The 26,125-nt window shown below is 35.4% G+C and overlaps 1 protein-coding gene across 7 annotated transcripts, besides 1 other annotated feature; it reads left to right on the top strand.

Moving 5' to 3' along the window:
- On the top strand, positions 32-22,432 carry LIPN (lipase family member N). Of its 7 annotated transcripts, none has more exons than XM_005270049.4 (11): positions 32-237; positions 2,835-2,912; positions 4,204-4,319; positions 4,994-5,111; positions 7,216-7,414; positions 9,075-9,184; positions 11,598-11,734; positions 13,651-13,797; positions 17,279-17,350; positions 17,898-17,969; positions 20,815-22,432. In XM_005270049.4, exons 3-11 carry the CDS (start codon positions 4,212-4,214, stop codon positions 21,046-21,048), a joined length of 1,197 nt encoding a protein of 398 aa, XP_005270106.1. In that variant the 5' UTR covers positions 32-237; positions 2,835-2,912; positions 4,204-4,211; the 3' UTR covers positions 21,049-22,432. The 7 variants fall into 7 exon arrangements, with proteins under 7 accessions (XP_005270106.1, XP_011538386.1, XP_047281598.1 ...); XM_047425642.1 differs by lacking the exon at positions 32-237 and adding an exon at positions 3,992-4,049 and having other exon boundaries at positions 2,826-2,912; XM_011540084.3 differs by lacking the exon at positions 2,835-2,912.
- Positions 1,981-3,180: an enhancer, noted in NCBI's record as "BRD4-independent group 4 enhancer chr10:90518932-90520131 (GRCh37/hg19 assembly coordinates)". NCBI's record gives its function as "activates an origin of replication core promoter dependent on BRD2, P300/CBP, MED14 and CDK7 cofactors, and independent of BRD4, by STARR-seq in HCT116 cells {active_cell/tissue: HCT116}" and the evidence as "EXISTENCE:reporter gene assay evidence [ECO:0000049][PMID:35650434]".

The following is a 26,125-nucleotide window of genomic DNA, read 5'->3' on the forward strand; positions in this document are numbered from 1 at the left end:
TCTAGAGAATACCACACATACATGCTGCACATTAAGCAGGAAGCGAGGAAGGTAGATCCGCCTGGGGCAGGAAAATGATATAATTTTCCTCATATTCAATGGTATGGCCCTTCCTCTTCATTCTCACAAGGATTTGACCTTTGTCACAAACACGGATGGTCCTGATCGTGTCACTCCGGAACATGGACGTTATCAAGGACAGCTGCCGGCACTCTTGGTAATAATTTCTCTTTAAATGTAAGTGATCTTTCCTTTGAACATTTTGAGTTGAGATGGATGTGTGTTCAATAAACTTATTATGGCCTCTTCAAAAATCTTTAATATTTTAGTTAACTATGATTGATAGATCTTTTTGTCACTTCTCTCTTCTATTATAGCCATTATTGTTTTTAAAGATGGATGTAGTATAGATGTCACTGAAACAGAGATTCATTTTCACTAACACTAAAAGAAAGCATGTTCTACGCTAATATGTAATCTCAAAAACAACACTGTTTCTTGTAGTAATTATGAACATTCCCAACTTCGCTTTGAGTAAAGAGATGAAATTTTAAAATATAAAGTATTTTCTCTTAAGCAAAAGTGTGCTAATTAATAATTTTACACACACACATATAGACTTATGGACACTTATGGTTCTATTGAGCACTGTTTGAATTTTAGGATGCAAAATAAATTAGATAAATTATCTAGTGAGCAAGAGACAAAATCCAGGTTCTTGTTCATGCACAGTCTTTTTACTGTAGGGTGAAATTTGTCTCAAAAGTGTGAGGTTCAAATTATTTATTTTTCAAAATTCTCACTAGTTTCCATTTTGCTGGTTATGGCCTAACCTTTTTAACTTTGAGTTATTTTCAAGAGAAAATTTGAAAAAGCAGCCTTTGAGGAGAAAGAAGCAATCCAACAAACAAAAAGATAACCACACTGTAATAGGAAATGTGTTTTGAATAGGACATTGGAAGAAAAATAATAATCATTTTTACAGGTAGATCCCAAAGTCAAGGATCTATGTTCAACCATGTGTGTTCCACCATCTTCACAATTGAATGAGTAACCATCATTAAGCAGTTAGCTTAGGCCGTAATATGATTCTTGGACTGAGATTTCAAAAATACCACAGGCCTTCTGAAAGGTTACCCCTTTCTAGCTCCACTATCATCTAATTTTATTAAAAAAAAAAAAAAGGAAAAATTTGAGCTTCTAGAGAGTAGGGGCTACCATTTTGTATCCCACAGGGCCAAGGAACAAGTTTTAATGTATTCATTTAAATTAATTTCAGTATGAGTATTGAAATATATAATAGAAATATTGTAACATTATATATTTTCTATATACTTTTATTATATAGAAAATATATATTACAGAATATATTATTAAATATTGTAGAACAATATATAATACAGAAAAATATATAATACTCAGTAATATATTAAATACTTATTAAAATAGCAAGCTTATATAGGAAGAGTGATGGAGCATTGTGAGAAAGTTTCAGCTTTATTTCTTTGACATTACTTTGTTTCTGCACAAACAAAAGAATTACAGGAATTGTCCAGATTATTCAAATAACTCGAAGTTGAGGAGGGAATATAAGTCAATGATGTAGAAACTCTTTTAAGATTTGAGCTAGCCTACAATCTGTAAAGATCTGTGAAATTGAACTATATTTGTGCTATTTCCATATTAAGTCAAGGCAACAAATCAATATTAATAATAATAACATAGCACTTCTAGAACTTTCTAAAGAGTCCAATAAAGTTTTGTTAGAAAGGATTGTTTTTGAAGTTAAAAACCATGAGAAATTCCAGGAAAATCCACATACCTATGCCATCATACTATCAATCAGGGCAAAACATGCTTGAGTCTTTCATCAAGACTAAATGATTAAGGAGTGGTACATAACTTTTCCCTGTTCTGACTAGCTGAACACTTCCTTTTACTCCACATTTGTTTAATTGGCATGAAATTTCCCACTCCACTAAAACAGATCTTAGGATTTGGACAACACAAAATATCATTTTTTTTGAAAGGATTTGAGGATAAATCCAAACTAATAGAACTGAAACTTCTATATTATGCTGGGTAGCAACTTAGTTTTCCCTACCCTTCTTCATGCTGGGAGATGAAAGAGATTCAGTTACGGCTTAAGCTCCACAGGCATACAAAGTGAAGCAGAAAACTGAGGCACGTGTGCCTCCATTATCTGGTATCTCATGTGGGGCTTAGAGGTAAATTGTCGTTATTTGGCCTCCATTTCTGCCTTTAACCACTGGTGTAAACAAAGGTTACTGTGCCAAAGTTGACAGCAACCCAAATCCCTTTGGCATGTGAATTAGTTTCCTCTGCCATACTGCTAGTTCCAAATTCCTTCTGGTTTCAGGATTTAGGAGTCAGGGTTGCCTCATCTTCTCAAATGAGTTACAGTCACGCACATCCCTACGCACTGCATGGTTGGCACTAGTTCCTTGATATATGTTACTCCGTTTGATCCTCATGAAGGATCAAATGGGGAAGGGAGATACTATTGTCTCTGATTGTCCATTAAGATCTTGAGTATGTTCTACTTCCCTGTTTGACACACTGGTTTGAAAATGTTGCTAAGTCTTCCCAACAATGACAGATACTCAGTGGAAACATGAAGGATTCCGTCAAACTGGTTATTTTGCATCATGTAGACCACTATTTCCCAACCTGCAAGTGCATCATGGCCTTTGGTGTGTCAGGGACACGCCTTGGGTGTGTGTCTCAGTCTAAAGCTTCCTCCTTTTCACAAGCTTCCTGTTTCTCATCTCTCTAGCTTCTAACTGTCACTGTAATCATCTCTTACTCTTCAGCCTGATGTCAAAAGCAAAAGTTCAGAAGTTCCTCATCAATAAGGAGTCCTTGTGAGCAGGTGAAGCTCATCTAACTAGGTAAGATGAAGATCTATCATAACCAGGAGGCAGGTTGGAAGGTGCCAGTTGCACTGGCAGTCAGGTGCAAGAGCTCTGCAGTGAGGCTGCCTGAGTGTCCATCCTAGATCTCTCACCTCTTGGCTCTGTGACCTTGAGCAGGTCTTAAATCTCTCTAAGCCTTTGTTTTTTTAATTGATAAAATGAGGATAATAATAGTACCAAAATTAGGGAGATTTTCAGAGCTTAAATAACATACGTGAACTATTTAGAGTAATGCCTGCCATAAGGGGACTCAGTAGCTTATTATTAGTTTCATACAATTTGAAAAGTTTCATAATATTTGCAGATATAAGATGATCTTCAACCAGATAGCTAATGTATGCAAAGCTATTTAGCTTCAGAAGTAAACTCTGCATTTCTAGAAGTTAAATATTACTTTGTTATAGTGAATTATCTGTAATATTTATCTCTTGCTCACTTTTATAAGAAAAATAGTGAAAGCATTTATTAAGAACTTACACTGCACTAAATGTTATATATGACTTAATCCTCACTATAACCCTATGAGATAGGTTACATTATTGTCCTAATTTTACTAACAAGGAAACCAAGAGACAAAGCTACTAAAACACTTGCCTGAGGTTAGACATCTTCTTCTGTGGTGAGGCTGGATTTCAAATTTAGACCATTTGACTGTAGCACTTATATGATGAGCACGCTGTTTAGTGTTATAGTGTTGGTCTACCTTTGAATAGACATACTTTTAAACCATGGCAAGGAAGTGAGACTGCACATTGAAATACGCAAAATTTGCCTTTGGGTGCCACGTGAGAAATAATCACATCACTAGAAACTAATCATAAGCTTTTGTGTTTGGTTAAAGTTTTATTGATCCATTTTTCTTGTTTACTTTGTGGGATACTGGGCTTAACTAGGGGATACCTCCACTTTTTACTTGGCCATGGTATGAAAACCTGTCCTCTGAATCTTTAGATATTTTGTCAAATTGTAGGCAAACAAAGACTTAAAGCAATTCAACCTTGATTAAAATAAGACCAAAAATGCCTCCATACTTGATTAAATTTATTTCATTTTAGGAACTGGATTATAATCAAGACAACTTCTACATGAAAAAATAGATTAATAGTGCTCCAAGTTAGTTCACTGTATTTATTCCTTTTTATACATTATCTGCCTTCGGTGTTATTCAAGTTTTCATTAATCATTAATAATTTCACTAATCATTTTATTTCATTAATCAACATTGATAGTTAAAATTAATCTGTGAATATTAAATGTTTTATGCCAGGCATTTCTATGATGTGGCTGCTTTTAACAACAACTTGTTTGATCTGTGGAACTTTAAATGCTGGTGGATTCCTTGATTTGGAAAATGAAGTGAATCCTGAGGTGTGGATGAATACTGTAAGTCATGGAAAACTGTGAAGAACATCAAATAAAGCAGGACTAATGGAGTATGAGGTTACGAAAGGTCCTGTTGTAACAGAAAATCTCTGATAAAACAGATAAAATGTAGATGGTTTTTAACCTCTGCAAGAGTCAAGCTAGTTAGATCTTTGTCTGAAAAACAAATACTGTCCGGTAATGAAAACCAAATTGTGCTATTGTGCTATCTATCTATCTATCTATCTATCTATCTATCTATCTATCTATGTATCTATCTATCTATTTATCTATCTATCTATCTATCTATAGATAGAACCTCCTCTTTTGAATTTATGTTTTAAGAATATCAAGCTATTTGTTGATGTACATGATTGCCTTCTATTGATCTATAGTTCTATTACTTTTAAAGCAAGAGGGGTCTCAAAAGACAATTGACTTGATAATATAGCTTTGTCAGAAAGAATGGGTCAATGCTAAATTTTCCCCCAACCCCCCAAAATATTAGCCAATAGTAGATATTTTTTAAAATTCTACTTATTTTGTATTAAGACTTTATTTATTAATTTTACAGTTACCTGGTGCTACAAATTTCAGATAATTCACCCTAATAAGCACACAACAGATGGTTTGTTTTGATTCCTTTTTATATCCTTTGGAGAAGTTCCACTAACGACTGTATTTTTACTGGGCAGAGTGAAATCATCATCTACAATGGCTACCCCAGTGAAGAGTATGAAGTCACCACTGAAGATGGGTATATACTCCTTGTCAACAGAATTCCTTATGGGCGAACACATGCTAGGAGCACAGGTACAAGATATGTCTCTCCTGAAAAGGGGACTGCATTGACCTCCTGCTTCTCAGGAGGAATTTAATGCTAGATATGCATCAACAGAGTTTATCAAAATTGGTTTGAATTATTGGATTAGTCTTTAAATAGTTATCAGGGAGGCTCACTCTTTGCCTGATAATTCTCTGAAGACAGACAGGAACCTAAAAATACAAACAGCAAGACTGATCTTGCTAACTGCAACCAGAGGTACTTGTTAGGGTGTAAACAGAAAGGCAGAGCCTGCATTTTGTCACCTCATTACTGATTTATCATGTGGAAAATTGCTTTGTCCCAGGAAAATGGATCCTCTCATTGTCAGAAGGAGATTTTCTAGGTTGTATGAAATTGACTCTGGGGCACCCAAGAAGAACCTCTCCTGCTCCCACTAAAATTAAGGGGCCTCCCTCTGCAGGATAAAAAACAATCTAGTTAAATGACAACGCATTTCTGAAAAGTTTTCCAGGACTGAAAACCTTAACATCCACATACACTTTGATCTAAGGGACAGACGGTTCATAGAATGAAAGAGTATGGTGTCAATAAGGCTTGAATTCTAGAATGAGGAGCCAGCCATGCCATAGCAGGGGAATGATACTCCTTAAAAGGGAAAATTTAACTACAAATCCTCTGAAGTAGAAATGATAAGAATAACCAAAATATCTGCAATGGTTCAATAGCAAATAATTTATTGGCAGCTGCTTACCGTGTTCATTTTGCATCTTTTTTCCCACCACACATATTAAGGAGCAGCTGAGGTCATGTTTGACATTCTCTCCCTCTTTTATCTCCAGTTTCAGAATGAAAAATGAGAGTGAGATATGAGTAGTTTTACTAGTTAAAATATGAAACACCCAGTTAAATTTGAAGGTCAGATAAACAACAAATAATTTTGTATAAGTCTCATTTTAAGATAATACTAAAAAGTCATTATTTATTCACTATTATCACTATTTATAAAATTTTGTAGAGCATCCTGGAACTTTTTGCTTACTTTTGTTTTTATTTTTTGCTAAATCTGGCAATCCCAGGCACATGTGTGAAGGAGCTGTGAAATATAAAAGGAGAAAACTTTTATGGGAAAGATTTGGCTTAAGGAGAGATAATTTTGGAAAGATTTAGAATTAAAGATCATTCATTAGATGTAATGTTCTAAATACTTTATATCAGTTAAACTTCTCATCAACAATATGAGATGGGTACCACTAATAGTCACCATTTCACAAATGATGAAATTAAGGCACAACCGGTTATGTTAAGAGGCCTAAAGTCCACAAATAGCAAGCTGACAGACCAGAATTTAAGCCCAGGCATGCTGGCTCCAGAGCCTGTGCTCTTAGTCATTAAATTATAGTGCCTTACTTGACCTTCCACCCTGGTTCTTTGGATCTCCCTGAATGCTCTCTCTCCCTCAGAAATCTGGAAGTTGGCAGAGGGACACTGAGCTGAGCATATTATTGTAGTTTTTAAATGCTCTCCACTGGACAGAGGATGGGGATTTGAATAGAAATTTGGTGAGGAACTAATCAGTGTCCATTTACACTCACCTCCTCTTCCTCCCTGGAAGAGCTATAGGACTTGAGTAAGCATGATAAATTTTGTGTCTTTGTAAACCACACCCAGGAAATTTGTATATACAAATACATAGAGCACAGTAGTTATCAGGACAGACTTTGACATAAAAAGAACTGGGTTTGAGTCCCTGCTCTGGCCTTCTTATCTGGGTGGCCCTCTGGGAAAGTTACTTAACTACATAAAGTTTTGTTTCCATATCTACAAAATGAGGTTTCTCAAAATAGCAGCTAGTTTATAGAGTTGTTGCAAGAATTTAGTAAGCTAATACATATAAATACGTCAACATAGCACCAGGTACAAAAATATGTGCTCAAGAAACTGAAGTTACCTGATTATAATGCTCTATACTATTGACAAGGGAAAAGTGAAAACAGTTTTTGTTTTACCATGTGTGTATGTGTGTGTGTCTGTGATGTTTCCGACATGCTCTATTTAACATAAATTACTCTCACTCTTTCTCTCTCTCTCTTTCTCTTTCTCCCTCTCTCATCTTACCCTTTCCCCCACCAGGTCCCCGGCCAGTTGTGTATATGCAGCATGCCCTGTTTGCAGACAATGCCTACTGGCTTGAGAATTATGCTAATGGAAGCCTTGGATTCCTTCTAGCAGATGCAGGTTATGATGTATGGATGGGAAACAGTCGGGGAAACACTTGGTCAAGAAGACACAAAACACTCTCAGAGACAGATGAGAAATTCTGGGCCTTTAGGTAAATATTAGCTAAGAAAACTCAAGGGGGAAATTGGAGGCAATTTAAAAAAAATAACGTGGACGCTATTAATGATTATCTTTGACGCTTGAAGTCATATAGCTCCTTGTAGTTTCTGTTAAGATCTCAAAGGAGGGTAACAGCAAGAAGCTCTGATTTTTCACTGATTCTCCCACAGGCAAAGTATGGCATTTCAACAAGATCATTTTTACATCCAATTCTGTGAATTCTATGCATTAAAAGTATGTCCAAAGAGACAGCTCAGGAAATTATCATGACCAATGTGCACATTCATTCAGCCAATGTTTACTGAGTGGCTACTGTATGCGCTGTTCTAGGCCCCGAACATTCAAACAGGGAACAGACAAACTCTCTGACCTCACAAAGCTTATGTTCATTTTAGTGATAATTTTACAAGTCATTGCTCCTGGATGGCCAATCAACTGTGTAAAGATGATTTGGACCAGGACCTTATTGATTTAGAGAAACTGTGATTGATTTAGAGAAACTGAGATCGCACATAGTACCATTTTCAGGAAAACTCCAATATTAGATTTTTAAAACCTTTTTAATGGGCAATGAAGAAGAATCTTTTTTGATATCTTGTTTCTTTTAATGGAAGAGTTTTCTGCTGTCACCAGAGGACAGGCTGATGCCTGCGATAGACTTTTCTTTCTTCAGGCCTAAGCTCCCTGTTGGTTTGTAAACCTGATGCTAGAACAGAGTGTGTATTCCTACTACATTAATAAAACATTCAGTACCCACTGAAAGTTTGAGAATAGTGGAGGAATAGAATAGAATGTTATAGTCTGAGTTCTTGGGCAGGGGCAAGCATCAGGAAATATTGAATCATTAGTCTTTAGGAGGTGTCACAACAATTCTCCTATTCTTGTAAGTCCCAATCTATAGATTTCCTCACATGTTCTTTTAATAAACAGGCTTCTAGCTTATGGAATACTTGATTTGACTAAATGTTATATAGGCCCTTTTGTTCCTCCTGTCTGAAGAACAAAATACTAGTACTATGGAATATTGGTATATATTAAATATATATCTATATATCCATGTGGACAGGAATACTACTACTAACAACATCTTACTGAGCACCCACTGGCAGCCAGAGTCGTTTCTTTCATACTATTAAACCCCGTTAGCAGCCCCGTAAACCAGGTACTACCCTGTTTATTTCCCAAATGAGAAAACATAGGCTCAGAGCATTTCAGTAATTTCTCAAGAGTTGCAAAGGCCATAAATAGTAGAATCATGATTTACAAAACCCCTGTTTCCAAAGATGGGTATTAAATGGTCCTAACAATTGTGAAGCCTCATGTGGGAGTCAGAAGTAGAGGCACACAAGCCAGATGGGGAAAGGGAGGGCAAAGAAAAGCAAGAGAAGGGAAGGAAGAGGAGGGATCATAAGGTTGAACTTCAAATATCATACACAAGTTTCGAAAGTGTTCCTCTTATAAGGAAGTAAAATGTACATATGCAGAAAAACAAAAAGCTACAATAGCCTACATATAATTGGATAAATAATGAAATACACATTGAATCTAAGTAAACAGCATAGAATCTGGGTGTAAAAAAGAAGTGAGCAAGTGCTCTGAGTTTTAAACTTAAACTTGCAAGTATTTATAAAAGCCCCTGTTTTATTTTGCAGTTTTGATGAAATGGCCAAATATGATCTCCCAGGAGTAATAGACTTCATTGTAAATAAAACTGGTCAGGAGAAATTGTATTTCATTGGACATTCACTTGGCACTACAATAGGTATGTTTATGAGGGTCACTGTTAGGTGTGTTTTTGAGGGTCAGTTTTCTCAGAGTCTTACAGGAGTTCACCTTTATGTTGGAATAAAACAACTGTTACTTATAGTGCCCTCAATTCCCTGTCCTCTGCTGGGAATAACCCTAGTACTCTAAGTAGCTGTGAGCCTGCAGTGCACAGACTATATGTAGGGCAAACCTTTCCTGGGTCTCTGGTCACAGCAGCATATTGACTACGGTGATGCAACTTCCCAGGAATAACATGTGTTCCAAATTCAAAGAAATAATTCCACAGAGTAAGTTTCTAGATTCCCTCTGAGCTGAAAAAGTAAAATTCAATGCCATGGAATATGGCTGAAACATAATAAATGTGCATCAATCATCTCTTTCTCACAACCCAAATGGGATTTTTAAAAAATAAAAGGGAAGGGCTTATACCTATATTTAAACAAACTGAAAAGGCATGGTTATATTTGTTTGTGAGTTGGAACACACAAGCTTACTATAATAAATCAATTGAGCTTATCTATTCAGTGTGTGATTTAGTATTTATGAAATAGCAAGTAAATGTAAGCACTATGTAGAAATTTCTAAAGTTTTTTAAGCTGACAACTTACTTCTTAATTTACTTACTTTACTTAATTTACTTTACAATTTACTTTCCAGGTATTTTGGAAAGAAATCAATAATCTAGTTCCAAGTAAAAGTTGAAAGGAACCCACACTAATAAAAGCTTTGAATTTGTCATTGAACTTCCACTAAAGTTTCCAATTTTAAGAGAATAAATCATGTGAAAGTGCAATATTTCAGTTTAGGGAAATATTTTCATTATCACCACTATCATCAGTAACAAACATATATTCATTAGTATTTTAGATTGACAGGCACTTTCCAAGCTCAGAACAGGCAGTTAGCATCAGTCAGCATATACTAAAAAAGTATCAAAGAACTCATAGGAGATCAAAAATGCCACCAATAGGCAAATAATTACAGTATCTAACACTTATTGAGCATTCGTTATGTGTAGGGTCTTGTGTTCAGGACCTTCCCCACAGTATCTCCCTCTGATCTTCAAAACAACCCGAATGTTATTATCCCCATCTCATAGAAGAAGAAACACAAGTTCAGAACACAGATTCAAACCAGATGTATCTGATTTCACCAATAGGGTGTGTAAGGATTCCGGAGAAATGGTGTAGAGAAGAAGAAATGACTTTAGTTGGTTTTGGAAAGTGGGTAGGACTTAGATATGCTCTTATACTTGATCTGCAAAAAAAAAAAAAAAAAAAAAAAAAAAAAAAAAAAAAAAAAAAAAAAACCATGGAGAATTTGATTATCTGTGCTCTGTGTTTCATTTAGGACATAAATATTTTTAGTGACTGTTGTTTGCATTTTGGACAGAGCAATTTCTGTTATGTAAGGAGCACCCACTCTTTGTAGGACATTTAGTAGGTCCCAGCCCATTAAACAGGGCTCTGCAGTCAGCGTGACCCTCAAAAATCTCACCTCCACACATTTCCAAACACCCTCTGGGGAAGTACTATTCCTGATTCAGAGTCTTTTTATCAATTGTTCAGTCAATTATTTCAGTTCTTCTTTTTCTGGCCAAGACAGTTTTAATGTTCCAACAAGTGTTTCAGTACACACACACACACACACACACACACACACACACACACACACACACATGCCAGTGGAGGCCCAGGAAGGGACCTCTGGAAACCAAATTATATGGATATTCTCCCTAGCCTACCCAGTGTTGTGCTAATCTCCATCCTCACAGATATACAAAGGGGTGCAATGCTACTGCTGAAAGAGCAAAGCAAATGGAGATGCCTGGTCCTTACTGGGCCATCGTGGATGCTAGGGAAAGCCCCTTTCTTTTTGGAAACAGGGAAGAGTCTAGAGGGTTGAAAAACACCCAGTAAGACACTGGGAGCAGTGAAATTTCATTCCATAGTGAGAAAGAAAACCTGTTAGAATAACTGGGTGATGCTGCAGAAAGAAATCAATTCACCTCCTGTGACTGATTATTTGCTTCTGGAAACTCTGTGATTCATTCTGGCATCTCAGAGTTAGGGATGAAATGAGAATGTTGCCAGCATTTACCCCATGCTTGGGAAGTTTACACAGCAGTAGCTACTCCAGCAGCTTAACCATCACCTTTCCCCTGCCAACTACTCCATTTCCCCCAATCAAGTCAAACTGTCCATAAATAGAATAAAATAAAATTGGAGACTTGAGAGCAGAGAAGACTGAAGGCAGATTATCTTTATAGAATAACTCAGAAGACTTCCAATTCATCCCCAGTATGATCACGATAGAAGGAAAAAATGACTAAGCAGAGCCCCAATTTTGTTAGAAACACTGCGTAAGTATTTATTTTTACAAGATTGTCTTATCTCCTGTTCTCTCAGGGTTTGTAGCCTTTTCCACCATGCCTGAACTGGCACAAAGAATCAAAATGAATTTTGCCTTGGGTCCTACGATCTCATTCAAATATCCCACGGGCATTTTTACCAGGTTTTTTCTACTTCCAAATTCCATAATCAAGGTAGGCTCCTTTCAACAAAATGTACCTGAGGATCTCATTTTGGATCATAAATCCTTATTATTTTCAAATCTACTGTAAAGTAAAAGTAGGAAATTTAGATAAAATCTATAGAACTTAGACTCTGTGGGTATGTGCTTGTGTATGTGTGTCCCTGCGTGTGCGCATGTCTGTGCCATAGTATCTGCAGGTTCTGTAATACAATTTACTATACAAGGTCATCAGCAGGCTGAGTATATGTCAGAATTTCTAGCTGAACTGAGTGCTATATGACAACAAGGATTTTTCTTGTTTTCCCAAGTGTTTTTTGTTCCATTTAGTCAGGTAGGTCAATGAATTCACATTGCCCAAATGAAAGACACTTCAAGTTACCCATAATCACTGATGTGTCCAATTTTGACATTAGAAAAACCTGATTAATATATTCCTTCCAATATGGAAACTTGCCCTAATAACTAAAGCTAAGATTCCAAAGCCTAAATGTATTACAGCTCAAGTATTAATTCAAATATTTATTGGTTATTTTTCAGGAGTTGAAAAAGTCATTTGGTTGCCAATTGTGGATTTGGGATTTTATCTATTAAAGGGTTTTTTTTTTTTTTCTCTTTGCTTTTGTTTCTCTACAAAGGTCATTGCCACAATGAACACAGCATTTAATCAAATTCCAGATTGGCCTTTGAACTTGGGATGATGGATAAAATGGATTTGGGCCAAAATTGAAGTCAAGGAGACCAGTTAGAATATCAAAATAATTCATATATAAGAAAATGAGACGTTGGTTTGGGGTAGAGTGGTAGGAATGAAAAAAATTATTTGTGAGCTAACACAAGGAATAATTTCCATAGGGCCTAATAATAGTTAGGTCTGATAATACTATGGTCTGATAATAGTTTTATTGTATTGTTTACTGAGAGCACAAATGATGTAACTTCCTTATTCAAGAGCTTTTCTAGTTTATTTAAAAATGTGTTGACATCAGTTAGGTTTTAATGTTTTCTATATTTGGACAGTGTGAGCAAACTAATTTGTTAAATTAAATTCAGAGAGAGATACATCTATCTGTAAATACATATATGCGTTGTTTGTGTTGCTCTTCCTACATAGGTCAGCTATAAGGCAAATAATGTTCCTGGGTTATCTCAGTTTCACATTTCCCACTGTCAATATTCCTGCTACTTTTAAGTCCCATATCCTGCTCTTTTCTTCCGTCAGTTTCCCCCAGAAGCTCCAAGACCCCACCAGGAATCCCCATCCAAGTTTACTTTCCCAACTCCTGGAAGTTTCAATTGTGCTGCCTTTGTGACATTATCATATCTTTTCTGTTCAATGGTTGCTTCTCTTTGGCTCACTGTTCTCTACTTTTCAGCCTGAGAGCTGGCTAATCTGGGACAGTACTCGAATGCAGTGTACACATGGGTAACATGGAAAACCCCGATTTTCCCTTATATTCAAGGTATTATTTGACCTTAAGAAAAACTGTTCTACATTTCATACCAATTAATGAGAAAAAAATATTGGCAAGCACTGACTGGGCAGAATACAGGGAAGCTTCACTATGGAGAAGTGAATTTGGGATTGAGGGCCTTTATTGCAATCTCCTTGTAAATAATATTTGATACTCTTCCTCATCTGGAGACACATTCCTAAGTAACTTTTCCTGAATAATTTGGTCTCCTTGACTGAATCAGTAAGTACAAATAGATCCCCAAGCATGGCTCTTTCCTAGAATGAAAGAAATGTCAAGAAGTCTGAAGATGATTCTTGAATTTTGGTTTTTTGCTATTGCTATTTGGGCTTGTTGTCCTTGTTGTTGCTATTGAGTTGAGCTCCTTATATATTCTGGTTACTAATCCCTTGTAATATGGATAGTCTGCAAATATTTTATCTCATTCAAAGATAATTATTATTTACTTTCATAGGCTGTTTTTGGTACCAAAGGTTTCTTTTTAGAAGATAAGAAAACGAAGATAGCTTCTACCAAAATCTGCAACAATAAGATACTCTGGTTGATATGTAGCGAATTTATGTCCTTATGGGCTGGATCCAACAAGAAAAATATGAATCAGGTATGTATGATAATTATAGGGCCATTTGATACCTTAAGAAATTCCAGCTTTCCTTTGACTCATTTTGATATATCTATTTACTGTATAAATTCATATGGTATTCCAAACCCTTAAAGACAGATTTTTTTTTGCTTTTAAAAATGTTTATGGGTATATAATAGTTGTACATATTTATGAGACACATATATTTTGATATAAGCATACAATGTGTAATGACCAAATCAGGGTAATTGGGATATCCATCACCTCAAGCATTTATCATTTCTTTTTGTTAGAGACATTCTAATTTGACTCTTCTAGTTATTTTGAAATATACAATGAATTATTGTTAACTATAGTCATCCTATTGTGCATGCCAGACTTTAGTCCTTCTAACGGTATTTTGGTACCCATTAACCAATGCCTCTTTATCCTTCCCCCTCCCCTACTACCTTTCCCAGCCTCTGGTAACCATCATTCTTCTCACTATCTCTATAAGGTCAGTTTTTTTTTAAACTCCCCTATATGAGTGAGAACATGCAGTATTTGTCTTTTTGTGCCTGGCTTATTTCACTTAATGTAATGTTCTCTAATTTCATCCACATTATTGCAAATGACATGATTTCATTCTTCTTATGGCTGTCTATATGTACCACATTTTATTTATCCACTCATCTGTTGATGGACACTTAGGCTGATTTCATATCTTGGTCATTGTGAATAGTGCTGTACTAAACATGGGGGTGCAGATGTCTCTTCCATGGATTGATTTCCTTTTTTTTTTTTTGAATATAGACCTAGCACTGGAATTGCTGGATCATATGGTAATTCTACTTTTAGTTTTTTGAGGATCCCTCATACTCTTCCCCATAGTTCCTGTACTAATTTACATTCCTACCAACAGTCTGTGCAAGAGTTCTCTTTTCTCCACATTCTTGTCAGCATCCATTATTGCCTATCTTTTTGATAAAAGCTATTTTAACTGGAGTGAGATAGTACTTCATTGTAGTTTTAGTTCGCATTTCTCTAATGATTAGTAATGTTGAACATTGTTTTTAATGTACCTCTTGGCTATTTGTATGTCTTCTTTTGAGAAATGTCTACTCAGATCTTTTGTCCATTTTTAAATCAGATTTTTTTTTTTTGCAATTGAGTTATATGACCTCTTTATATATTCTGGTTACTAATCCCTTGTCAGATGGGTAGTTTACAAATATTTTCTCTCATTCAACAGGTTCTTTAGTTCACTTTGTTGATGGTCTCCTTTGCTTTGCAGAAGCTTTTTAGCTTGACGTAATCTAATTTGTTCATGTTTGCTTTGGTTGCCTGTGCATTTGAGGGCTTACCTCAAATTGGCCCAGACCAATGTCCCGGAGTGCTTCTGTAATGTTTGTTTTTTAGTAGTTTCATAGTTTTAGGTCTTAAATGTGTCTTTAATCCATTTTGATTTTGTTTTTGTATCTGGCAAGAGATAGAGATCTAATTTCATTCTTCTGCATATGGATATCTAGTTTTCCCAGCATCATTTCTTGTGGAAATTGTCCTTTGCCCAATGTATGTTCTTGATGCCTTTGTTGAAAATTAGTTGACTATAAATGTGTGGGTTTATTTGTGGGTTCTTTATTCTGTTCCATTGGTCTATGTGTCTGTTTTTATGCCAGTATCATGCAGTTTTGATTATTACAGGTTTGTAGTATAATTTGAAGTCAGGTCATGTGATGCCTCCAGCTTTGTTCTTTTTTCTCAGAATCTTATATTTAGAAAAACCTAAAGACTCCAACAAAAAACCTGCTAGAACTGATAAACAAATTCATTAAATTTGCAGGATACAACATCAACATACAAAATTCAGCAGCATTTCAATATGCCAAGAGCAAATAATCTTAAAAAAAAAGAAAGAAAAAAAAAACAAGAAATAATCCCATTTATAATAGCTACAAATAAAATAAAACACCTAGGAATAAACCATACCAAAGAAGTGAAAGATTTCTACAATGAAAACTATAAAACACTGATGAAAGAAATTGAAAATGACATTAAAAAATGGAAAGGTATTCCATGTTCATGGATTGCAAGAATCAATATTGTTAAAATGTCCATATGATCCAAAACAATCTACAGATTCAATGCAATCCCTATCAAAATACCAATGACATTCTTCATTGAAATAAAAAAAAAAGCCTAAAATTTAAGTGGAACCATGAAGGTAGATGTCTGCTATACATAGAAGATTAAGTACTCAACAAACCTTGAATATGAAGACTGGGGAAGTGAATAGGCAGCTTCACTCTTCTATTCCCTGGTGAAATTTAGGAGAATGGATGTTTTATAATGGGTAGCAGTTTCTTACATGTTCTCAATCAGCCATAACTTACTACAGTCAATTTGAATTTATTGCATTTGAATATATTGGATTAAAAATAAAATCCTAAAAAAGGAGAGAAGCACATATAAACCTGCGTCTTATTTCATGTGTTCCTTTCTTTGTGGGTGACTTTTGTTTTGAAGTAAAACCTGCAAAATAACAGGACAGGGTGGAAGGGAGATGGGATCCCCTCTTTATGAAGAAGCAGCAGTCCTGTTTTATCACCTCTTCATTTTCTGTTATTGAGAATTCAAGAAGAAGGAGGAGGAAGAGTTCACATCCACAGACTGGTGTGGTTGAATAGTTGTCTCTACTGTATTCCAAATAGCAGCCAATGAGGCTGTTACAGTGAAGCCAGTCCCAAGATAATTGTTCTGTACCCCTATTCTCTAAGAAGCTAAATTGTGTTAGACTGAAACCCATAAGGAACCATTGTTCAAAGTTGGCTTGCTCAAAAGTAAAGATTTTTAATAGTTTCTCTTAATTAGATTATTTTCTAAGACATAGAATTATGATTACTATTTTATCTCTATAATTTTCATCTCTATAACGTTTACAAATACTGAAATAACCTTTGGAAAAAATTGGCTTTTAGCTTTACTTTTGCAATATTTTATTTTATCCCCATAAAAGCCTAGGAAATTGGTACTATGACTTTTAGTATGTTCATTTAATAGATGAAAACACAGAAACTCAAAGATGTTAAATATGGTGGCCAAGTTCACAAAGCTGATCATTAACAACAACAGGGCCTGAACTCCTGGTTTTCTGATTTAATCTGTGACAGTGCACCTGGGTGCGCATGCATGCATCACCCCCACACTTGCACATAGAACCTTTCCTAGTTGGCTTTGCTCCATGATGACCATTACTGTTCCTTCTACTTCAAAATAAGCAAATTATCCTACAGATTCAGAGCTGGTACAGGTGTGCTGTCAAGCAGCCCATTCCATTAGTCAGCTTGTGGTTCACTCACATTAAAGTATTGACCTAAATGGTATATTTATCTAGATAATTCTACCTTGTTATTTTCAAAGCCCCAGTCTTGTTTGCTAATTCTGTGCATCATTTTTCTCTGATTCTGAAAGGCAAAATTTTGTTGGGCAATTGCTGTAATATGAGTTTTATCTCCTTTAGAGTCGAATGGATGTGTATATGTCACATGCTCCCACTGGTTCATCAGTACACAACATTCTGCATATAAAACAGGTAGAGTCTTAGTCATGGAAAACCATTCCAATCCTTATTTTCAATATATTTAAAAAGACAGAATTGACCCTGTTAACAGGCCTACCCTAAGAATCTTAAGAGCTTGCTTCCAGTTTGTCCTTGCTGCCTTCTGTATGCCTTGATTTCCCTGGAATTTAAGAGAAAGGATGTTATGGTACAGACCAAGTAGATGACATAAATGAACACCACCTTAAATCAGAGTTTTAAAAATAGGCCCTGAACTGAAGCAAGAGGTAAACTAGGGAAGCCTCAGGAGAACTGAGACTTCTCCAGAGAGAAGTATCTGGGATTTAACTTCTTTCTAATGAGGCTTGGTTTTCCATGAACTTTTCCTTTAAACCAAGGGGGGTATTGCTCATCTTTCTGTTGAGCCCCGTTTGTCATAATTGTAAAATGGGTGGTTACATCCTTCTGGTGATCTAGGAGCCCTATTTTCGTCCTAGCATACAGCATTTTTCTAAAATTTGCTGTTAGCTTTCATGATTCTTACCCTAACTATTCTTTTTCTAAAAAACATTTGTTTCAGCTTTACCACTCTGATGAATTCAGAGCTTATGACTGGGGAAATGACGCTGATAATATGAAACATTACAATCAGGTGAGCTATTTACAGTAACCCCAGCATGCTGATTTTGATAAATTATAATAAAAAATTATTTGAGGGTGGAAAGACTCCTACCTGTCATTTGGTGGCATTTATACTGATAGAACTTTTTTTTAAAAAAATTTTAATTTTAATTTTAATTTATTTCAGAAAATTTATAAATTAAAGAAGCATATACAAAGAAACTTACATCATGTGTAATCCTTCCATCCAGAGATAACTAGATGTACTAACATTTTGGTGTATTTATTCCAATTTTCTCAGTATTATATTGCTTTTAGACAACTTTTAATCTTTCTATTTTACTTAAGCTATAGTAAGAGATAACTAATATAACTGAGGGATTTTTAAATGCATTTTTAATGGCTACATAATAGAAATTATTTCATAAAAATCTTTACAGCATAAATGAATATACACTTTTTAATACCAACAGAAAAATTAGAATTCCATATGAAAGTTGAATAAGTATTACCCAACATTGAAGACTTGGGTCGTAAGGCATCTTTCTCCATATAGCTTTATGACATAAAAATCTGTAGCCTTGTTTAGCACCGTACTTTTAATTAATCCTGTCACCATTTTTCTGTTCTCATAGCCAGGGGCTTGGCTTATAAGTATGAACTAAGCAAACTAAATTAAATTGTTTTAAGTATTTTCCCAGGCTATCATATTTTAAGCTATTTACTGGTGCAACTATAGATTATTAATAAGTTGTTTCTGAGGATCAAAACAATCAGACTAATCAATTTCTCAATAATGAATTGGCCTGTTAGAGGAATAATTCTACTAATCCTTAAAACCACTACAAGAGATAGACCATGTATATTTTATTTATTTTTAAAAATAAGTTTAAGATGTGATTTACATACAAGAACATTACTAATTTTGTGTGTCCCATTTAATAAGTTTTGACAAATATATTTATTTGTGTAACCACACCACAATCTAAATATAGGACGTTTATATCACCACTAAAAGTTTTTTTCCTGCTCCTGAGACTATTTATAGACACAAATGCGTGTATTTGCAAATGCTTAGAAAAGGTCTAGAAAAAAAAACAGTAAATGTTAAAGTGGTTATCTTCAGAGAGAAGAAAGAAGAAAAGAAGTGGATGGACATGAAACAGTAAAGGACCCTCATTTTGGACTTTACATATGTCTGTTTTCTTCCATTATTTTGAATAAACATGCTATATTTATAAATTATTTACATTTACAAGAAAATGAAACAAAATCAACACGCACATTCAAGATCATTATGGTCAAGTACTAAAGTATGTGAGAGTGTTAATGTCCTTAGAATTTGTCCACAGTTAGCTGGTCCTACTCTGCTCCAAGCCGGTCCTATTTTGTGAATTAATCTCATTTGATGCCAATTTTTATTACATTCTCTCCAAAAAACTAGTCTCAACAGTTTGCTCTCTCCTCAAGTTCACAGCATTATCTCTGCTATATCTATATTTTATTGAGTATAAGAGAATTAACCCATGTAAGCTCCATGAGGGTAGGGATTTCTCATCATTTTGTTCACCAGTGTTTTCTCATCTGGAAGAGTACATGACAATTACTGGGCTCCCAGTATCTATGTGTTGCATTAATGAAATTTCTTAACTTTAATCTACCTCAAAATGTCTCTATCTTCTTGATTCTCTCCTTCCTTTCTCTATCAGAAAATGATGGTCCTCTTATTTTCCAAGTTATTCCGGTCCTGTGCCCTTGATCCCATCTCTTCTCACTTCCCCTTCCTTCCTGCCTCCATTCTCCTGTCCCTTATGAAAAACAAGCAAGACCATCAATTCTATCAAGTTATCATTATGTCACTCTGTTCTTATCAACATATTTTTAGTATTGAAGAGGGCTTCTTCTACTTACTCCTTAACCTTGTACAATGTAGTTTAGGTCTTCATCTTTTTATCATAGCTACCTTATTTAAAGTCACCCATGGCTTTTAATTGCCAAATTCAATGGCCTATCTTCACCTTTTGAAATGTGTTATGTTCGTTACCACAGTCTCCTTGAAACTCAGTCCCCTGACTTGGACTTCCATAACACAATGATTTCTGATTTTCCTTCTGTTTGTGATTGTTCCTTTTGTCCCAGGCACTGGCTACTCCACCTTCCACCTCTCTGAAATCATTAGCATTCCCCAAGGATTCTTCAAAACTCTCTTTCTTCCTTGGAGAAGTCAGCATAGCTTTAATTTGGACCATTTCTATGGCTTATCTAGATTTTTTCAGGACTTGCCTTCAACCTATTCTTTCTGTAGGTGATTCCATTAACTGTTGCCCATATGGTAGTCCGAAGACAGACCTCCGAGAAATGACCCTTGTCTCCAAAACTTCCGCAATATGTCCAAATTTCCTAGCCTGACATTCAGACTTTGATTATCTGCCTCCAAGTTTATATCCTATCATATTCCTTTACATATTCTGTTCTCCAGGTACACTGGGAAGCTTGCCATTCCTGATCATAGCCTACAAACTCTTCCTGCCTCCCACTCACCCTCATCTCTGCTGTCAAAATGCAACCTTCCCTCAAGAGTCATTTCACAGGACCCCTCTTTCTATGAAGCCCTCAGGTGGAAATAATTTTTTGCCTTTTTTTCCATTTTATTTTTGGAGTGTTTATGGCATTTAACATACCTTACTTTGTATACAAATATTTGCCTTGCTCCCTCTTTTGCAAATTTCTTAAAGGTAGAGACCATTGTATGTTTTCTTCATATGTTGCTGGTGCCTAACAGAACTATGGCCATTGTCCACATTCATTTAGCAGCCTTTGTAGTTATTGCTTTGAGGAGCTTCCTCTCATGAATGCCCTTGCTTTCTCTCCCACAGAGTCATCCCCCTATATATGACCTGACTGCCATGAAAGTGCCTACTGCTATTTGGGCTGGTGGACATGATGTCCTCGTAACACCCCAGGATGTGGCCAGGATACTCCCTCAAATCAAGAGTCTTCATTACTTTAAGCTATTGCCAGATTGGAACCACTTTGATTTTGTCTGGGGCCTCGATGCCCCTCAACGGATGTACAGTGAAATCATAGCTTTAATGAAGGCATATTCCTAAATGCAATGCATTTACTTTTCAATTAAAAGTTGCTTCCAAGCCCATAAGGGACTTTAGAAAAAATAGTAACCAACAATGAGGTTGTCCCCCAGCACCCTGGGGGAGATGCACAGTGGAGTCTGTTTTCCAAGTCAATTGTGTTAGTGTTATTTATGTTTAGAGACATCTTTGCATGGGACCATCTACAGGTCCTTATAAACAATGAGGTAGATTAGGCAAAAAGATAAACAAGTTGCTACTCTATCTGGCATTTAAGTCTAATTAAATTGTAATTTTTAGGGCATACCATGAAGTATAGAAATGTCTGAAGCTTCAAAGGAACAGTGAAATTCCTTTAAGGTCCTATATGGAAACCTCTGTTGTCATTTTATTTATATGGATTGCTATGGCAATGGACAGAGTGTGGGATTAGGAGGAGGGCCTGTAACTTCTTTATAAAAGTTTCTTAGCTATCCTGAAGATGTATAGACATTTTTACTTTTTTAGGTATTTTCAACATCAGAAATTCAAAAAAGTCCCCAAAGATTCTTCCAGAGAAGCCCTCTTTTCTTACAATCTTATCCCTGGCTATCTGCGTAAACGGAATCTTGAACCCATAATAGGATACATGTATAAAATCTTCCTTATTAAAGCAGAAATAAATTGTACAGCATCAATATCATTTTATAATCATAGGGAGGCTTCTTTGTTTAGCATGTAATGCCCCCTTTACAGGCTTTTTGTTCTTTGAGGGGTTTGAACATTCCATGAAAAACTGACAGATAGGAAACTGACAATAAAAGATTGAGCTAAAGATGGAAGCAGAAAGTACTAGGCTAGATAGTCTCTAAACATTAAGTATTTTCTTCCTCCATCTTAAAAGCAATGAGAAGCCACCAAAATATTTTACCTAATGGAAACCTGATTGCCGCATTTTTGTAACCACCACTTTGGCTGCTACATAGAGAATGGATTAGAAGATGCCAACAAAAGATTCTGAGCAAGACTGTAAATCTGATCAAGTGTTCTGATGCAGGCTGATATCCTTCTGTGCTAAGAGAGATGATCCTTGGAAAATCCAGAGCCAGCTCCATAATACTTTCCTGCTCTGCTGGCAAATCCACAAGCTGCTGGCCCCTGGAGCCATTCTTCTCTCAAAACTAGCATTCATCAATTTAATGTATACGTATTGATGGGGAATAATGGTCACTATGAAAACCATGTGATAATATGGAAAAATACCCATGATATAATGTTATGTGAAGAGGAGAAAATGAAACTGGTAGAACTATGTGATTGCAAATATATACAAATATTAAAACAATTATATGACTTTATAAAATATTTGTATATAATGAAAACTGAAGCAATATAAAAAATAAAATTAGTTGTGTCAGGGTAGTAACATGATGAGTGATTAATAGTTTTTAATTTTTAATATAGTAATGACATAATGTTACAACTTGTCCAAATCTCACAAACATAATATTCAGTAAAGGAAGATAAACATAAAAGAATACATATTTTATTATACATTTTTATGTAGGCTAATTGATGGTTCTGAAAGCCTTAAAAAGCTTACTTTTAGGAGGAGAATCATGCCTTGGAGGACTCTAGGGTCCAGAAAAATGTCCTAATACTAGAGCTAGGTGCAGTCAGATTAATTATAATACATTTCATTATTTTGTCTGGAATACCAAGATGACTTCCAAGCAGGAATGGAGTCTAGCAACACTTTACTGATGGGGAACTTGGCCACAGACTTGTAATACAAATTTTTGGATATGTTGACAATGTTTCTCCTTATTTTTCTTACTTATACAAAGCAAGAAATTTGGCTCACAACCTTGAAACAGACTTACCAGGTTCCTCCAGTTTCCCAAGCCTCAATATCTCATTGCTATTTTTAATAGAACAAGGTAAATAATAACATGAATGTTATTCAATACAAATTGATGTCAAATGTAAATTCTGACTCAGAACATTGGTGAATTTCTTTCAATCGGTATAATCAATCAGTTTCAGAGAGGCGAAGTCTTGCTCAAGTGACAGCCTTTTTGAGACTCATTAACCAAAGAACAAGGCACGTGTTTCACCATCAGGGCTTTGTTCAACTTTGATCACCTCTGCATTCTCCTCTCATAGGAAGGTTACCCACATTTTCCAAGGTCTGGCCACAATACCACCATTTCTGAAACGTTTTGCCTGAACTATATGTTCTAGAATTACTGTTCCCTCTTCTAAATCACTTTTTTTTTTTAGACAGGGTTTCACTGTTGCCCAGTGAAGTTGCCCAGGCTGGAGTACAATGGTGCGATCTCAGTTCACTGCAACCTCTGCCTCCTAGGTTCTAGCAATTCTCCTGCCTCAGCCTCCCAAGTAGCTGGGAGTACAGGTGCCCATCACATGCCCAGCTAATTTTTTGTATTTTTAGTAGAGATAGGGTTTCACTATGTTGGCCAGGCTGATCTCGAACTCCTGACCTCAGGCAATCCACCCCGCCTCGGCCTCTCAAAGTGCTGGGATTACAGGCATGAGCCACCGCGCCCAGCTTAAATCACTTTTTATTATGCTTCTGAATTATCTTTTTGGAGAGTTCTGTGTAAGTCTACTGCCCTAATAAATTTTAAGTAGCTTGAAAACAGAAGCATTTAAGATATAGAACTCTCCATTACCACACTAAATTCACTTTTGCTATTCCTTTATGGTCAACCACCACTACCACCATGACCAGCTCTCCTTGAACTTGATCCCTGACAACTTATCTGTTCTCCATTGCTATAATGTCTTATAAATAAAATCATGGAGTATGTGGCCTTGATATTGGCTTTTTTTTACTCAGCATGATGTCCTTGAGATCTATCCAAGTTGTTGCATATATCAAGTTTGTTCCTCCTTATTGCTGAATAGCATTGCACGGTATGCATGCACCACAGTTTGTTTAACTATTCACTCACTGAAAAACACGTGGGTTATTTCCAAGTTTTGGCTTTATCTTTTTGGTGTTTCACTGCTTAATGGCATGTCTTGAAAATAAAAAAAAAAACACTCCGCTCAGATTCATTAATTTGACTTAATTGCAAGTCCCACCCAAAGCTAAATTTTCTGTGCTAATACCTTTTGTAATCTGTACACTGCCTCAAGGGAAAATGTTACTCAAGTCAGAGTTCCCATTGACTTGACTACACAATCCTTGATTCATATTTTAATTTGGCATTTAGAGATTGCAAAACAGTGACGTGGTTCTCATTACATTTTTGAGTTCTAATGTGATTTAAGAAGTGCTTTGGAGTAGGGTGAAAACAGATTGCTAGTATTTATACCTTGATTGACTATGAAGTCCTTCCTCCAGCCATTGTCAAGATGTGACATGTCTTTAGCTCTGTCAAAACCTCCATCAGCATCATCATATCTCCCACAGAGCCAAACCAAATAAAAGTAATCACAGTAATAATAGTGTGCAATCATTAAAAATCTATGTGAAGTATTAATATAAAACACCAACAATTTTTAGTATATAGATATAAAAAGGTAAATTCTATAAAAACAGTACGCTTTCTATGGAATGCACCTTCAAGAAAGTTTCATCATTCTCCTCCATTCTATTTCCTATAAGATTGTCCATAAATTCCATTTATGGAGGAATTCTGGAGTCAAACCTTTCTTCTTTTTGTACCTTCTACACATATTGGCCATTTTAGTTGGTGTGTGAATTTCTTTCCTTATCAAAGCAGTCAACTTAGCTAAGAAAGATTATTTATTTGGGATATGATGTGGCCTTAATAAGCTTAATCAAAATAAGCACTTGTATGGTATTTGATAGCACAACAGGGTGACTATAGTCAATAATTTAATTGTACATTTAAAAATAACTAAGAGTATAATTGGATGGTTTGTAACACAAAGGATAAATGCTTGAGGTGATGAGTACCCTATTTACCCTGATGTGATTATATATTATATGACTGTATCAAAGTATCTCATATATCCCATAAATATATACACCCACTATATACCCCCACAAAAATTAAAAATTAAAAACAAAATAAGCACTTAAAAATACCTTCCACATCCTGCCACTCTACCCCTACCTCAAAGAGAAGATTCCCAAGGAAACTCTAGGTAATGAAAACCTGGTCCTACAGTCTATGAAAGTATGACTTCAACAGTGTGTGGTTCAGGGAGTTCTGAACATTCAAAACAGAAGCAAACAAATCAGTATTGGGGTGAAGCCAAGGGAAAATTACTGACCACATACTCCACAAGACTTGTCTCAGGTGTACATGGAACCTGAGAATGTTTAATGTTATAATGAAATACGTATTCATATTACAAAGTTACACGTATATTTTAATAATTATAAAATGCAAATATCGTAAGTATAGTGTGATACTCAATAGCTTCAAGTGTATTTTTTGGCATTGGCATAATACATATGTGTATTTCCATAGTTATTTATATGTATCTAATTTTAACTTTGTTTTCCACTTTTTTGATATACCTGCTAGCCATTTGATATGTTTCAAGTAATTTTTTTCACGAAGAAATATGTTTTAAATATTGTTTGCACCCTTGAGTGTCTGAGAATGTTTTTTGTTGCCTTAACACAAAAGGTTAAAACATCTTTCTACCACAAAATTCTGTAGACATTTCTCTATTTTCTTCCAGAGTTTAGCATTACAACAGAAGTGTGTAAAGTCACCTTTGTTTTTATCTATTTGTAGGTAACCCGTTGTGGATTTTTAGAAAATAATTAACTTTCTGCTTATATACTTGTTTTATATTATTATGGTTTGGTTTTCATCTCTGTAATGAAATGAACTTAGCAAGCATATTTTTGCAAAGGTATCCCCTTTGATTTCAATTTTGCAGCGAACTCTTTCAATCTGCACTTACATGTTTCTTCAACCCAAGTTTTCTTCTATCATGCCTTCGAATATTGACATCAATTCCTTTTCGTCCTTTGTTTTAATCTAGTCAATAATCTGTTACCTATATGTTTTTTCAATGTCTACCATCTTCTCTGTCAAAGAGTATTTTTATTTCTTTGTCTTTTTCTCTGACCTGTGGGCTTGGTAATCAAGTCTTTCTCAGGATC

Source organism: Homo sapiens, chromosome 10, assembly GCF_000001405.40.
Source record: "Homo sapiens chromosome 10, GRCh38.p14 Primary Assembly".
Lineage (NCBI taxonomy): Eukaryota > Metazoa > Chordata > Mammalia > Primates > Hominidae > Homo > Homo sapiens.